This window comes from Homo sapiens, chromosome 16 (genome assembly GCF_000001405.40).
Source record: "Homo sapiens chromosome 16, GRCh38.p14 Primary Assembly".
Lineage (NCBI taxonomy): Eukaryota > Metazoa > Chordata > Mammalia > Primates > Hominidae > Homo > Homo sapiens.
The window spans coordinates 10,113,690-10,131,168 of NC_000016.10; the positions used below are offsets into that span (position 1 = coordinate 10,113,690).

Genomic DNA, 17,479 nt, shown 5'->3' on the forward strand with positions numbered 1-17,479 from the left:
TATATCTTATGTACTTGTATAAATACAGATACATACATACACATGCACATCAATGCACACATATATATGCAGAAGGAAATAAATGGGAAAATGCCATTATTGTTTAATATGTGTGACAGCGTTATTGAGTTGAAAATAAAATACACTCAGCATTATTTTTAACAAATTTAAAAGACTATTTCATGACCTTGAGGAGTAGAGTCTTGAAGGGCATCTTAAGATTTTTAACCTTAGTTGGGCATGGTGGCTCACACATGTAATCCCAGCTACTCAGAAGGCTAGGGCAGAGTTCAAGACCAACCTGGATAACAAAGACCCTCGTTCTTAAAAAAAAAAGAAAAAAAAAGATTTAATTAGCCATGCATGGTGGTGTGTGCCTGTAGTGCCAGCTACTCTGGAGGCTGAGGCAAGAAAAATTGCCTGAGCCTGAGTTCAACGCTGCAGTGAGCTATGATCATGCCACTGCACTCCAGCCTGGGCAACAGAGCAAGACCCTGCCTCTAAAGACACAAAAATAGAAAATAAATTTTAAAAAACAAATCCTTCATAAAACCACACAGTGAGACTGTGCTCTGCAGCAATGCCAATGCTAAACACTCTTAGAAAAGCCCCACAGGGGAGCCTGCTTGGAAACTCAAGAGAGAGTTGAAGAGGTTTTGATCCACCCAAGAGATTATGTGCGGGTAAAGCCAAAAGGACCCCAGACTCGAAGATGCCAGCCTGGGTGAAATGAACCAAATCAAGCAAAGCAGGCAGATGCTGTAGGCCAGTCGCCCACAGAAGAATCATAACCTTTCAAAGCAGATTGTGTAAACACAGGAGAGGGAGGAGGAAGATGTATCTTCTGTGTCCCCAGAAACCCGCAGGCACCGGTCCCAGCGATCCCAGGAAGTGAATAGCTAGTTTGTTTTGGGTAGCTAAGAACACTGCCCACTCAACCAAAATAAGAGTGACTTCTTCAAAAGGTTATGAACCCACTGATTTCTGACAGTATTTCCCAAGAAGGCAAACAGAGCCCAAAGCCTGTGCTTAAAAAGCTAGTGATCTAATAACCAAAGAATCACAAATTAAAGTGTCCTATATGAGCCAAATAGGAACACTGGCAAAATAGAGAATTTATGCTTCATTTAATGGGGCAAAGTCACGCCCCCGATGTGCCAGGTCTGCATGCTGTTTTAAAAATTTTTTGTTTAGATATTTTCTATGTAAAACTAAGGTTATTTCACTTAAAATTCCAATTTTCAGTTTCTTCCTGAAAACATGGAAGAACTGTCAACACTGGACCCACGTCCCCACATGGCATTAATCCATCAACTGGCCTCTTTCACTTGTTTAAAATTATTCTCTGGTTCATTTAATTTTTTGAGTTTGCAGCCCTTGCTGTGCATGTTCCTTCCCTGCTTAAAATGTGCTGCTTTCAATGCTCTGTTGCAATTGTATATAAAGTAAAAGTAAACTAGCCTGGAGAGACAGTCTTAAGACGGCTCTCCTTTGTGTAGAATACATGGACTTTGTTGACCACTCTTTTGCATGATCTAAGTTTTTTTTTTTCAGCTTACTTTGTAATTTCCTTATGGTTTCAAAATGCTGGAGAACTGGTCTCCAATTAGTGAAGTATTTCTGGGGGCCTTCTTTAAAGTTACTTGCTATACCATCAACATAGTATTTGTATGTTTTCATTTGTAGGTAGTAGGAGAGATGCTTAAACAGGAAGAGACAGAAGCTCTCCTTGTTGACCCCACTCCTCTCTTGTCTTAGATGCCAGAAACCTATCTGGAGGAGGATAAGCAGAGCATCCATCCATGTGCACACCCTGGGGCCTGCGCCCCCCCATAAATCATTATCTGAACCAACAGGATAGGCTGCTGGGACACCCACTCTACTTATCAGAGCCCAGCAGTTGTGCCCAAGGCAACAGCACCTGAATTTTATAATTCTGCAGGTGAAATTTAGTGCAAACCAGATATTCCTGAGACCCAACTTGGCTTCCGCAACTGTATTCTCAAGCTGAAAACATTTTGTGTGAATGGGGTATGGGGGCGTGGGGACACTGTTTCTCAGAAGCCTTCATTATTTCATTTCTCAAGCAAATACTGGGGATGGAAATATGGAGCATAATTACTCAGGACTTTTTTTTTGTTTTAAGAATGACCAGAAATAGAACCATGAACACTTTTGGTGGGAATGTAAATTAGTTCAACCATTGTGGAAGACAGTGTAGTGATTCTTCTAAGATCTAGAACCAGAAATACCATTTGACCCAGCAATCCCGTTACAGGGTATATACTTAAAGGAATATAAACCATTCCGTCATAAAGATACATGCACACGTATGTTTATTTTAGCACTATCCACAATAGCAAAGACATGGAATTAACCCAAATGCCCATCAATGATAGACTGGATAAAGAAAATGTGGTACATACATATTATGGAATACTATCCAGCCATAAAAAGGAATGAGATCACGTCCTTTGCAGGGACATGGATGAAGCTGGAAGCCATCATCCTCAACAAACCAACACAGGAACAGAAAACCAAAAACCACATGTTCTCACTCATAAGTGAGAGCTGAACAATGAGAACACATGGACACAGGGAGGGGAACACACACCAGAGTCTGTTGGTGGTGGGGAAGGGAGAGCATCAGGATAAATAGCTAATGCATATGGGGCTTAATACCTAGGTGATAGGTTGAGAGGTGCAGCAAACCACTATGGCAAATGTCTACCTAGGTAACAAACCTATGTTCTGTACATGTATCCCAGAACTTAAAATTAAATAGAAATTTTTAAAAAGGAAATAGAACCATGGAAGCTTAAGCAAAATGAAGCAAAGGGGAATTACTTCAGTTAAGTTTTACTTTAGAGCAGATGCTAAAGCAAGAAACTGGGGGGACATGGTTTAGTTGGAAGGTGATCACAGGAAGTGTGGTGAGGAAGTAGAAAAATAAGACAGGAAAGGAAAAGAAGCCAGCAGCAGGGAAATTCATGGGAAGGTTACTTCTGGGGATAACAGGGATTTAACCCCACAAGGGCCCTCCAATAACAGTGTAGGACACACCTCATTACTGTCTCCCTGAGCAGCAAAGAAGCCAGGGTATGCCAACTTCTATCCCTCATCATTAAAGACAGTTCTGGGGGGCATTTATTTATCCCCTGCCACTTCAGGTCTGCCATATGCAGGAGCCAAACACAATCGTATGGCCAGAGAACATTCTTAGGCAGAGAGATGCCTGTGCTTGAGGTGAGAAGCCATCACTGTGTTGGGAACTGTCCATCTAAGCTTCAGGTGACCCTCAGGGTGGGCCAAGAGGATATGAGTGGGGCATCAACAACATAGCTACAGGGAATATTCTAGCTCAAGTGACTGAAAAAAAAAAAAAAAGTAGCTAAGCTTACTCCATGCACAGGTGAATTCAGGACCCAAAATCTGTCATCTGGATTTCGTGTTCCTCCTTCTTGCTGTTCTGCTGCCACACAGTTGGCTCTAGTTGTTGGCTCCAATTCTTGGCTCCAAGTGGAAGCAAGATGGTAGCAGTGATTTTATTCCCTACATCTTTTCAGGTTCACTTTTAATAGAAAATACCAAGTCTTTTCCCCCAGGAGCTCTTATCTTTAGAGACGCATATTGAAAAGTATAGAGATGAAATGATAGGATGTTGGGAATTTGCTCCAAAATAATCTACTGTGGGTGGCGATAAAATGAATTAAGATTGTCCATGAGTTGATAAATGCTGAAGCTGGATGGTGAGTATAGGAGAGTTATCTCTGCTTATGATTAGAGTTACCTCTATTTTCATGCATTTTGGAAAATCATCATAATAAAAAGTTAATTTGAAAAAAGAATCTCTTTTACTCAAGTTTGAGGTAAAGTCTCATTTCACCTCACTGGGTCTTCCTGGACCAGATAACCATCCCCGAACTGTTCACAGGGACCAGGAGCATATAATGACCACATTGTTCCAGCACTGAACCATATGCTCCATCTCTGCACCAGGAGGAATCTCTACAAAAAGCTCAGGGGCTACAGCTGGGGAGAGGGCTTAACAGAGATTGATTACATACAATTACCAGAAGAATGGAAATGAGTGTTAAGATAAAAAATACACAGGTTCATTCCATAATGACAATAGAAATATAGTGGACATAGAATATCTTTCCTCATCAAGCATCCATTCTAGTTTTTTACTGAAGAATTGTCCCTGCTTGCCCCTTTATCCCTGTGGACTGGGCACCCCTTGTGCTAATGGTGCACAAGTGACTTGGTCTGAACAATGAGAGGGAGACCCTGGTGATGGGTGCAGAGATGAGCACATGGCACTGGACCAGCCAATGATAATCTTGGGGCATTCTCTGGAGCCCCTCTTCCTTCTGAGGTGGCCAAGTTGAAGGATGAACATCTGTTGTGGCTGGTGTTATCTTTGCCATCACTTAAGGAGAATCTGCCAAAGACTGAGTCTGACAGAGGAAAGCGGAGCCCAGGTACAGGAAGACGTTCTCGAAGACATTGTTATATATCTGTATTCAGCCGTGCTGGAAGCCAGATACCCTGAACTTTTTAGTTACCTGATCAAATAAATGTTCCTGTTTGGCTTCAGGTTCTCATTTAGACTCCTGTCACTTATATCTCTGGCTAATAAAGGGAACTATGGTCACCCCCACCCCACCCCACGCAGCAATTGTAGTTTTTCCCGCCCCGATACTTGCGACATCAATGTACTGCTGTGGGTACAGCTCTACAAGCACCTGTTTTGCAATTTTCAGGTTAACAAGTAAAATCTTCCTTGAGTGTATACCTCTAAGCCTGTGAACAATATTTCTCATCCATTCATCCCCTCTGAAAATATTTTACATGCCCAATCCTCTGGTAGGTAATTAGGATATAGAAATTGGGCACAATCTATGTCTTCCAGTCCTGGTATGGCGGAGAAGAAAAGATTCAAGTAGCAGACAGACTGCTGTATCTAAAAACTTGGGTTCTTTTCCCAGCTCCATCTTAAACTGTGCAGAAAGAGAATTCTGCTAAACTCTCCCCACTGCTGAATAAAGTGTCCTATGTGAACAGGATCCTGATGGTAAATTTTCATAACCAGAGACTGTCACAGAATTTTAGCCAAGATGAGCCATTCAATATTGATTTATTCTACTTGATCGGAAATCATCAGTAGTCCAATTGTCCTTTCTAATGGAAGATCAGCATAAACAAAGTCACATTCAGGCCAGGACTCTTAAGAAAGGGGCGTGTTTTCTCCTCACTTATTTTTCTGCTGATTGGAAAGAAAAGACAGTGAGATTTAGGGGACTGGAAGAGCCACAATATGGCAGAAATCTAGGTCCCTGAATCACTGCATGGCCATAGGAAAGCTGTTCACCAACCAGGAACACCATTACATCAGCAGGAAGCAAACTTCTACTATGTTATACCACTGATATTTGAGGGCTTATTTGTTATAGCATCTACCATCATCCTTTGAATTACGAAGCTAAGGGAAAAAAAGCCCATTGGCTTTAAAACCCAGCAGAATTCAGTAGGAGGAGGAAGATGGAGAAAGTTATAAAGTAATCAAGTTGGGTGGGAACCTCAGGTTAGATCCTCATTACACTTAGAATGAGCGTTACCCATTTGACACAGGTGGATATCTTTGCTGTTACTCAAAGCCAAGAGGAAGGTATTTTCCAGCTTTATTTGATGAGTTGTTTTCATGCTTAATATTTTCCAGAAATCTGTTAATTCATACAGGTAAGAGACTGTGCCTTAGTCATCTCTGTAGCCTCCACAGCCCTTCATAAACAGCAGATTCAAACAAACAAAAGCTTCATTCAAGAAAGGAAGGAAGGCGGCTTTTTGTCTAGCCCCGTGGTTCTCAACAGGGAAAGATTATTTTTTAACTTTCATTTTAGGTTCAGGGGTACATGTGCAGGTTATATAGGTAAACTGTGTGTCACAGGGATTTGGTACACACATTTGGTACAGATTATTTTGTCACACAGGTAATATGCACATAGTACCTGACAGGTAGTTTTTTATCCTCTCCCTCCTCCCACCCTCCGCCCTCGATTAGAACTATTTGTCTGTTGTTCCCCTCCCTATGTCCCTGTGTTCGCACTGTTTAGCTCCCACTTATAAGTAAGAACATGTAGTATTTGGTTTTCTGTTCCTGCATTAGTTTGCTAAGGATAATGGCCTCTGGCTCCATCCATGTTGCTGCAAAGTACATGAGTTCATTCTTTTTATGGCTATGTAGTACTCCATGCTGTATATGTACCAGATTTTCTTTATCCAGTCTACCATTGATGGGCGTTTAGGTGGATTCCATGTATTTGCTATTGTGAATAGGGCTGCAGAATACATATGTATGCATATATCTTTATATAATTATTTATATTCCTTTGGGGATATACTCCATAATGAGACTGCTGGGTTGATTGATAATTCTGTTTTAAGTTCTTTTAGGAATCATCACACTGCTTTCCACAATGGCTGAACAAATTTACATTCAACTGGGGGAGATTTTTACCACCAGGAAATGTTTGTCTATGGCTGGAGACATTTGTTGTCACAACTATGGACTGCTACCTGCATTTAGTGGGTAGAGTCCAGGGATGTTGCTATATATCTTACAATGCACAGAACAGCCCCTCCCACAGCAAAGAATTCTCCTGCTCAAAATGTCCATAGTGCCAAGGTTAAATCTTGATATTATAACCTAAGGTTCCCATCCCAACTTGACCAATTAATCATTTTATAACTTTCTCCGTTCTCCTATTTAACCTACTGGGCTTTAAAGCCAGTGGCCCTTTTTCTTAGCTTCCTCATTCATGAAACAGTTTTCTGGGGAGGCCCTAGAATTTTACCTCTGTATTAAAATGATCTCTATTTTCTTTTCATTAAGGGAAAAATATACAAGGGGGGTGGATGCAGGGGGCAAGGAGTGGGTAAGCAGACCAGAAAGAGACTCCACATTAAAACACACAGGAAAACAGATCTTCTCTCTGGAAGACACCTGCAATCTCTTTGTTTCCTTTCTTATATTAGGTCTTCCGCATGGTCAAGGAAAGAGACCCACTCCAGTTAGTTCAAGAGAAACTGTTTATTGTAAGGACACATGCAGATTGCTACCAGAAGCCTTCATATTCTCTCCCCACTCCCCTGCCCCATGGTCCCCTATTTCCACTCCCCTCCAGTCATCCCCACACTGTCCTCCTCCCACAGCTGTCCCCTGATCCTTCCTAACTTCAGCTCATTGTGGCATCTTTTCAGCCCCTGTATCCACGATGCTAACTGAAAAATCCTATTCTATTTCTAATTCAAAAGCCCACATTTAAGCTCATCCTTTCAAACCCAGCCACAGACGTCAAATTTCAGACTGAGGACTGGATATACTTTCATCGGTCCAACACTCTTGGTCAAAGCAGCAATCCACAGCAAGAAGGGTGGGGCAACCACAAAGATTGGCATCTCTGCTACACTGTATCACACACACTCCTACCCCTGACTCCGAGTGACATCAACCACAGACAGTTACATTGAGCTACAGGAAGGATTAAACCACTTCCAAGACCCAGGAGGTCCCCTAATCATTTTGCCCCATGTCTTGGCTCACACCCCTGGAAACACTGGGGGAAAGTCACCTACCTTGTTTGGGGACACCTTTTTAGAGGATAACTCTTGGTCCTCAAGCTTAGAAGCTGTTATGAGGAAGACGTTGGGGCTTTTCAGAATAACATCCGAAGATTACCCCACAGATACCTTCTCCTCTGGAATCGCTCTCAACAGTGTCAGGCAGAGCCCCGGGAGCCCACACATCTTTCTCTGTGTTCTTGTGACCATGGAAATCAGGCAGGTCTCAAGAAACAAAGTCACAAAGGCATGAGCTCATCATCTATTTTCATAACACTAATGCAAGAGACCTCCAACACAAGCAAAGCAAAGGCACCGACTGGGTGCAGCCACATATCATGAGTTTCCAGGCCATTCTGCCTGAGTTGAGATCATTATGCTGCTTCTTTCATTGCACAGGAACGTGGGGGTTTTCTCTAAACTATGACTCATAGCAAAGCATACAGGCAATCATGTAGAGAAACCTGTTCTCCCCAGGAAAGGAGGGTGAGCAAATGCTAAAAGTTTTGATACTTTAATATAGCACTGGCCTTGGCTAATTTTACTTAATATGAAAGATTTCAAATAATGGAAACACTGACAGGCAAAAACATTAAAAGTTTGCATAAAATCTCAAAAAACCCTGCAAACAAGAGAGAAGCATGGTCTAATTAAAATAAAGGAAAAGATTGCTACTGGGTTCCTGAATACTCTTTTCACAAAGGCTTCACGTCAGATGAACTTCAAGCACCAAGCAGCAGGGATCCCACTGAAGTTTATTCAGCGCCCTTCTGGGCACTACCAGCTGTGAAACTGGTAACCTATTGACAAATAGGTTATTTTTCCAGCTGCACCCATATTCAAGAGCTTGACCAGCAAAGTCCCCTGATAATATTTGGCCATGAGTCAGAATGTATTAGGCACCTTCTGTAGCCAGAGCCAAAAAAACTCTGGCTACAGGAGAAACCTGGCACTGTGCACAAGATCCCCTTTTTTAGCATCAGCTGTCCCCTTTGCAGTTTGTTAAAGCTGGAGGAGTTTTAATCCAAGTGAACTCTCTTTCAGGAGGCTTCGGGGTAAGGAAGCTACAAAAGCGGGGAGGTAGGGGCACGGCTGCAAAGTGATGAACATTGCAGCAGGTTCGGCTATTCAGAATGAGCTATTTTCTCCCAAATCCTGTAATTGCCTGGAGCACGTGATCTTTTTGAAGGTCATTAGAGGCATGCGGCTGTCAGATCTCTCCCAGAAAGTTTCGCTTTGATTAGTTAGTTCCTGATGCTTATTTCCTAAAAGGCTCTTTTTGTCCCCCACCCCCCCAAAAAATGGGGAGCATTAAAATTTTAAAAAAGGAATTAGATGAATATCCTGCTAAATGTAACTTGGCAAGATGAAAGGAAGTAGCAAAGAAACATGAAAAGGGTGCAGACCTTCTTGGGCCCCCTGCTGGAGAGCCAACCTGAGGGAAATTGACGCACGATCAGCATATTCCTTCCCCAAAATGAGGCGACTCGGAAATACACAATATCAATCATCATCTATGCAACCACTCATTATTTTGACTCAAACAGAACGACATACATCATTGGTAAAGCCCACGTGGACATTTCCAGGTCCCTGGGGCATTTATAAGCTGGGAAAGGTTAAAAAATAAAATAAAATTCTCTTTTTTAAGGATTCCGATGTCTAAGAAAGCAGCCATGAGGACCTAATAAAGAACTAGAGCTGAATAAGTTGTCCAGTGACTATGATCAAATATACAGCTAGCAATGGCAATGTTTCACATCAAAGAAGAAAATCAAAGTTTTTTCCCAGCACAGGGAGATGGGGCCGATCTCTCTTGGATCAAAAGTCCTTTTTGTCCTCTCACATTTGCAGATGTGTAAATTCCAGGCAGATCTAATGAAGGAGTTACCTTTTCAATCCCTAGATTGTGTTTGCCAAAACTTCCCTTGCAATAGGGACACTCCAGCAACCCTGGCTCGGGGCTCCCTGCGTACTTAGATGTAATACTATGTCAACAACATCCTGCAGGCTGAAGCAGCCTCTTTTTTTTAAAGCCTTGGATCAACTATGCAAGCTCAACTTGCTTTTATTTTTGTTGAAAATACTAAATTCATTTGTCATCACTAATTCCCTCAAGCAAAGGAACAGCTCCTCGTTGATGCCATAGTTTGCAAGATACTGAAGTCGCACGTTGTTTCTAAGAACACTGATGCTCTAAATCTCCAGCTTTTGACTTCAGGAAAATGGCACTTACTTTATATTCATAGAATTTCTGGGGCAGTTCTTCTCAAACTTTAACATGCACGTGAATCGCCGAGGGATCTTGTTAAGAGGCAGATTCTAGCTCGGTCAGTCTGGATGGGACCTGAGATTCTGCATTCAGGTTCCCAGAGGATGTCAAAGCTGCTGGTGCATGGACCACACTTTGAATGATGAGATCTGTTTAGCTGGTTGGTAGGTACCTGGTGGCTGAGCTTTCAAACTCTGTAATCAGACTACCTGGGTTTGCATCCAGCCTCCACTGTTTACCCTTTCTTACTGTGTGCCTCAGCTTCCACATTTGCAGAATAGTGCTCAAAATAACAGTACAAATAGAGCTGCTCCGTGGGTTACAGAAAGCTATATGTATAAATCACTCGGCACAGTGTATGGCACATGAGCACTCAAGAGGTGAGCTGTTTCTGCCCTGGTGTAATCATCCCTCACAGAGCCCTTGTTCCCACCTTCTTTCCAGGCAGTAGAAAGCCAGAATAGTCTCCAGAGACAGATGAAGTGAAATTGCAAGCTTCTGACTCTCACAACTCAACCCATCAGCTTAGGTTGTTAAAAAAGCGAGGTATTGCAGTGCACTATATTGTCATAGTCTGAGAAGGGCCGTGTGCGTGCCCTTGTGTGTTCCAAAACCTAGGCCACGATGTATAGGGAAAAAAGAGCACAGGTCAGGTGGCCCAGGGAGCAAACTGACCTGTGAGATCCTTCGTTTGCTTACTTACAACATTGGGATAATAAAACCTACCATGTAGGGATACTATGAAGATCAGGGATCATGTATGCAAAGTGCCTGCCCTGTATGCAGTAGATGCTCAATAACTGGAGGCTGTTATGCTTGTAATCAAAATCCTATCCTCCCAAGAGCAAACAGGAGAAGAAGCCAACATAACTGGCAACTTAGCCTTGATAACTCTTTGTTTATCCGGGCAAGCGGAAAAGGGCAGGATTCCTTGGTGCTTGGGTAGAGAGCTTTTCCATAGCCTCAGATACAGACAGGGGCACTGAAATTATGGGGTACAAGAGGTTTTTCCAGGTGGTCCAGGTGAGACGGAGCTGGGAGATGGCAGGGAAAGATACAGTCACAATTGATAACTAGAGAGCTATCCATTCATTCATTCATTCATGATATTTATAAGTTGGCCCGTGTGTCAGGTGTTGTACAAGACAGAGCAGAGGCCCCACTCTCAAGGAGCAACCATTTCACAGAAGAGACAGAAACATGTAAATGAACACATACAAGTTAAAGTTGTGGTACAGCTAATGACATGAGGGCTCCTATGGAAAAGGTTAGCAGGACTGTCACGAAGCCCTCTCAAAGGAAATGCCCCAAAAGCCAAGTTGTGAAGAAGTCATCGTCAACCAGTGCAGAATAGTGGGAAGAGCATTCCAGGCATAGGGAACCATGAGGACAAAGCCCCTAGGGTTGGAAAGAACAAGGAGGAAAATGACAGCAAACAAAGCCCCAAAAAAGCACGTAGTGCCCAAATCATGCAGGGTCTCTTCATAGGCCATGGTGAGGATGTTGGATTTTATTCCAAAGGCTACAAGATGCCATGAAAGGGTTTTAAATCTGTCTTACAAAACCATAAATTTCACACTGCAGCAATCAAGTCCCACAATGTCCTGAAACTATGGAGTCAGAACTTGACCTCTTGACGCCTTCTACTTCTTACTAGAGATTCAAGGTCTTTGACCCTGGTGACACAACACCAGTACGGGATTTTTTCAAACTTTTTGCATTTATTGTCGAAGAAGCAGGGGCAGCAAAGAATATTTGGCTTTCCCTGGAAGTCCCAAGGGATGCTGGACAGAACAACCCCAAGTGGAAAGACCCTTGTTAGGAGAAGTCGAGTAAATACACTAGTGAGTAGACCATTCCTCCACTACAAGCTCAGCACTCCCAAGGAATAAGTAAATCCCTACTTAAATTGCCTGGGAGGCCTCCCTCAATTACACAAATCTAAGACATGACAGGGTACAGCAGAGATTCTCCTACAGCAAGTCTGAAGGCTGAGAGCAAAGCAATGGAGCTAAGGCATCATCCTCATACTGCTCATGGTGGGAGGAAAAAAAAAAAAAAAAAGACTGTTCCGAGTCTCCCCTCCCTGGCTGTTTTGCTAAGCCCCAGGCCTACAGGAGGCTGGATGGCCCAGGGGAAGAGGCTGCCTTGCCTACCCTGGGAAAGTGGATGGAGGGTAGCTTCTTCCTCTGCCAAGAAAATCAGGCGTCCTACAGGGAGAGAGAGCTGGGGGTAAAGGCTGGGTGGGAGGATGCTTAAGGGCCAGTCTTTCCCCAAACTCAGCTCCCTAGAGTACAGCGAGTTCTCTCCCACTCAGAGCAGAAGGAGGTCTGACACACTCACACCTGCAGGAAAACTGGGGGCCAGGAGGTGGGAGACAAAATGAGGACACAGACAGGAGGAGCCCCAGACTCCTTCCTGACTCCCTGCCTTCACCAGAATGAAGTAGGGAGGCTTAGAGCTCCTTCCAACTGCACTGTTTTGCTTACTGAATTTTCATTTTGCTTTTCTTAATTATAAGAATAATGCAAAGTCCCATCAACAACATTTTTGTGTGAGTTGATGGATTTCTTTATATATATATATATTTTTTTTTGAGATAGGATCTCGCTCTGTCGCCCAGGCTGGAATGCAGTGGCACAATCAGAGCTCACTGCAGCCTCAAATTCCTAGGCTCAAGTGATCCTCCTGCCTCAGGCTTCCAAGAAACAGACTACAGGCGTGCACCACCACACCTGGCTCATTTAAAAAAATTATTTTTTGTAGAGAGGGGGGTCTCGCTATGTTACCCAGACTGGTCTCAAACTCCTGGCCTCAAGCAACACTCCTGCCACTGCCTCCCAAAGCACTAGAAATAGAGGCAAGAGCCAGTGCCCAGCCAGTTTCATTACCGTATTTCAAATATTTTGCAGTATTGGCAGGGTTTACTATTTTCTTGGGCATCTATTAGCCATTGAGTTTTTATTCTCTAATCACATGTTACTCATTTCTCTTCCATTTTTCTTTTAGGGTGTTTTGTCTTTTTCTTAATTTGTAAGTCATCTTTGTGCGTTAAAGATAGTAACCCTTTGGCACGTATCACCAACGTTTTTCCCTACCATTTGTTGGTTTCTGTTAATTTTCTTTATGTTATTGCTGGAACTCCCTGAAACGACCACAAAGCAACCATTTGATTCTGCCAAAAATATTGTCTTTGAAATATGGTTTCTAGAACGTCTGTGAGTCACCTGCTCACATGTCCAAGATGTCTCAGAAATCCTTCTGCTTTTATAAACCTTGTCTTTTGGCCTACAGCACCAGTCTACACTTTTTACCAGCTCTGAGGACCTTCTGAGTCACACTCTGAAGTCCTGACCTCACCATAAACAAAGAGCCTTTTCTGGGGGAGTTGGAGCTGCCCTAAGCCAGTGAAAGCCAATGCTCACACGCTTGCCCTATCCAACTGCTTTCATTAGCTCCATTCTTTTTAGTCTAAAAGCCTTCCTGACAGCAACAGGGGCCAAGAATTTCTCTCATGAACCCCATTTTCTTGATTTCAAAATCCACTTGCCTTGGGAGAAACGCTTGAACCTGGGAGGTAGAGATTGCAGTGAGCAGAGATCGTGCCACTCCACTCCAGCCTGGCAACAGAGATTCAGTCTTGAAAAAAAAAAAAATCCACCTGCCTTGGTACAAGATGGGAAAGTCTTTGGGTGTTTATTGGCTGTATGTTCAAGATGAATCACCTGTGAGCTGTGGCATCCATGAAAATGTGGAGCTCCTTACCATCCTCAAGAACTTTCTCACCACTCAACCTCTGCATGTGATATTCCTCCACCTAAACACTACCTCCCTACCCCCATACTCCACCCTGGTTGGCCAACTTCTAATCATTTTTCCAATCTTAGCCTAACTACCACCGCCCTGGGAGGTCTTCACCAGCAACTGTGCCAGGCACCCTTGTGCACCAAGAGCCTTTAGTATCATTTCTAGCATCATGGTATATTTATATATAAGAATAATTGCCTGTTTATCTGTCTCCCCAGCCTTTTTATAGCATGAACTATGTCCTTCACCACTGTATCCCTAGCAACTAGCACAGAGCCTGGCACCTAGCTCACAATCAATAAATATTTGTGGAATTGATGGATGAATTCAGGCACTGGAAGCAAGAAAAGGGCCAGCACCACCGCTATCTACGTAAGTCATCCATACCAAGAGTATCAAGTTGAGCTCTTCCATAGTAAAGAATTAAACCTCGCCCAAAAAGAAGTCTGGTCTTTACCCTTGGTGTCTTACTAAGCCCTGGGAATGTCATGCCTGGATAGGAGTGTTTTTTTGCTTGTGGGGGCCTTGGGTCACACCAGAGAGTCTAACAGTGTGATTTAGAGTGGGGGCTTAGAATCACATAGCATGAGCTCAACCTCCAGAGGACCTGGAAGCCAAGGTCACCCATATAAGAACTCAACAGCAGACCCCAAAAAAGACTCTGCACGCCAAGGCTCAGTGAGCTTCCCTTGTTGGCAACGTCCCATGCTTATTTTCATCCATTGTTGCTGAGAAGGTGGCACTGTCCATGATTCCGTAGGAAGATCACCACTGGCAGCTCACGGTTGGACCTTTCATGATTCTGCCTATGTGTCCCTCTTTTGGCTGATTTTAGTCTGTATCCTTCAGCTATAACAAGCCATAGCCGTGGGTGCAACAGCTTGCAGCGAGTTTTGTGAGTTTCCAGTGAATTATCAAAGATAAGGGTGGTCTTGGCAGCCCTCAATCTTCCAAGTGATGTCAGAAATGATCGTTTTATGAACTGTACCCCTCAACTTTGCAGCTACACACTTAAGGACATTCTGATGGAAGGAGCTGTAATATTAACCTATCTGGGAAGTGTGAACTGTAAAGAAGAGGCCATTACAGAATGTTGAGATTGGCCAAACCACCACTGTAGATGCTCCATTCACTGGAACCAGCCTTGGAATGCAGAGGGCTCCTGCCACCCCACTCTTCTAGGCTAGAGGTGGGCAGCACCCTCCAGGCAAGAGCATGAATCATGTGTGCCTGCTTGCTGCTCCCCCTCTCTCCAACAGATGACTGGGCAAAAATAGAAGAGAATCCCTCCTTTATAAATATCTTTACATGCTAAATGTCTCTATAAAGCACCATGCGCCAAGCTAGGCTGCTAAGAAACAGATGCAAAACAGATGCAAAGATCCATGAGATAGCTGAGAAGTTAAAGAATTTTAATTCAACAAAAGGCAAGAAAAGTTTCTTAGGAGCATAATACAGTCAAGGGAGGCCTGATGCAACTGGAGAGTCATAGAAATTCTGGCTCCCAGCTATTAACAATAGTATTTCTTACCATGGCAGTTTCAATGCACATATGTGCACGAGTGTGTCTGTGCATACCTGAGCACGCTCTTATTTCATCCCCGTAACCAATCTTTATTCATTTAACAGATATTTATTAAGCACCTACTATGTGCATCACTTTTTTTTTTAAGCACCTACTACGTGCGTGACTTACTTTTTTAAAACAGGGTCTCGCTCTGTTGCCCAGGCTGGAATGCAGTGGCACGATCAGAGCTCACTGCAGCCTCAAATTTCTGGGCTCAAGTGATCGTCCTACCTCAGCTTCCTATGTAGCTGGGACTGCAGGTGTAAGCCATGACACCTGGTGAAGTCATTTTAGTTTTTAGTAGAGACAAAGTCTCTCTGTGTTGCCCAGGCTGGTGATAACTCTCTTAAGATATAGAAATGACTAATGTCCCTGCTTTCAAAGGACACATGCTTTAATGGGAGGAGTTTGATTAAAAAAAAAACAAAACACTAACCATATAATACTTAGATAGAGCTAAGCTATAGGAGAAAATGAAGCTGAGTAATGGGCTAATGGCTAGAGTGGAGGCTACTTGAACTTGGATGATCATGAACAGCCTGTCACAGTCAGCAATGTTTGAGACGAAACTTGAATGGTGAGAACAAGACAACCACAGAAAGGTCCAGGGGAAGAAATTCCCAAGCAAACGGAACAACAAGTGCAAAGGTGAGTGTGAGGAATGTTCCAGAAAGATAAAGGACCAAGGGAAAAGAGAGCAGGATTTGGTCTGAGATATAAGCAGGAGATTATGGTGCTCCTTCTAGGCCACAGCAAGCAATTGATTTTAATTCTAGGTAAAATGGAAAGCTGGAGGAAGATTTTAATAAAGATGCATGTGATTCAAGATATGGGTTTTGTCATCGTTCTTACTCACTCGACCAGCGAGGTCATGCATTGATCATAGGATGTCAAAGCTGGAAGAAGATACCAGTTTAGAAGATGCTGCTGTCACTGAATGCAGATTTCATAAGGAGTTGCAGTGAAGGTAGAAGCATGTTTCATGGATCTGTGTTAAGGGCAGAGCTAGAAGCCCTTGCTGATGGTTTCTACATAGCAGGTAAGAGGGAGAGAGAAATCAAAGGTGACTTGTAGGTTTGTAGTTTGAACAGCTAGATGGAAAATGAGGTCATTTACTAAGACAAGAAAGTAAGAAGGAGAGATAGGTATGGGGACATGCTAAAGACAATGAGACTCAGAAAAGCCAAGAGACTCATTCAAGGTTACATGGCTGGGAAATGATAGAGGCAGACTTGGAACGCTGGTCCCTGGGACTCCACGGCAGGGTTCAAATGGTAAAGCAAGCTGAATTTCCAGGCCAGGTTCAGGGAAACATTGAGGGGAAAATCAAATCAGTAATCCAGGCAAATTCAGGGCATACCACGTGGCTGATCTATTTTCAGCATCCACTCTTGTGAAGGCTACTTGTAGAATCTTAGAATTAATAGAATTTTCGAGCTGAGCAGATCTTTGGGCTCAAAAGGGCATCTGTGCCTTTGCAAACATGATTCACCGAACATCCCCTGAGTAGGCAGATGGGTCAGGCTGCTGAGTAGACTTTAAATGGAGCTCCGGACACAGACCCATCTTCCAAGCCATCCTATTCACTTTCTCCCCACTGTCAAAAGGAACAGGACATTATATAAACCTTCTGAAATGCCAAAAGGAGGAATTCTATATTTAACTCCCCTCCCAGCATCCAAACATCACATGATGGAATGTTGAGGATCTAATTCAACAATGTTGAGTAACAGGGATATAACCCAGGGGACTCTCTCTCTCCTTCTCGCTTCTCCTGCAACTTCTCGTCTCCAGCCACCCACTGTCATGTCTTCATTAAGGGAGTTCGGGAGCAGCCTGACTCAAGCAGGTCCCCAGGAAAGTAAACAGCTGGGGGAGTAAAATGGATTGTGCTAACATATAATCCATAGCTGCCAGGGAGCTGGAACTCAGAGCCAAACACAGACTCATCTCTTCAGCTATCCTGAGAAGTGTGGGGACTGAGGACTAAGAGGGACAGAGGCAGCAATATAAAAACCAGTGCCCTCAAGGTTCAGGAGGCAAATGAAATGGAACTTAAGCTTCTGCATCTCTGCAGTCGGGACTTTTGTTAGAAAAGCACTTAAAAAATTCAAGGCACATCCACAAGATTTCAAGAGCTGGCATGATGGAAAATAGCGGCAGGGGCTGATCAAGATGGCATGGAGTGAGGCTTCTGAAAACACTTATTG

At 43.3% G+C, this 17,479-nt stretch overlaps 1 protein-coding gene across 7 annotated transcripts in view; it reads right to left on the bottom strand.

Annotated features, from left to right (window-relative positions):
- GRIN2A (glutamate ionotropic receptor NMDA type subunit 2A) overlaps positions 1 to 17,479 on the bottom strand; it is a 429,505-nt gene that overhangs the window by 360,286 nt on the left and 51,740 nt on the right. The gene's annotated exons all lie outside the window — the stretch shown is intronic.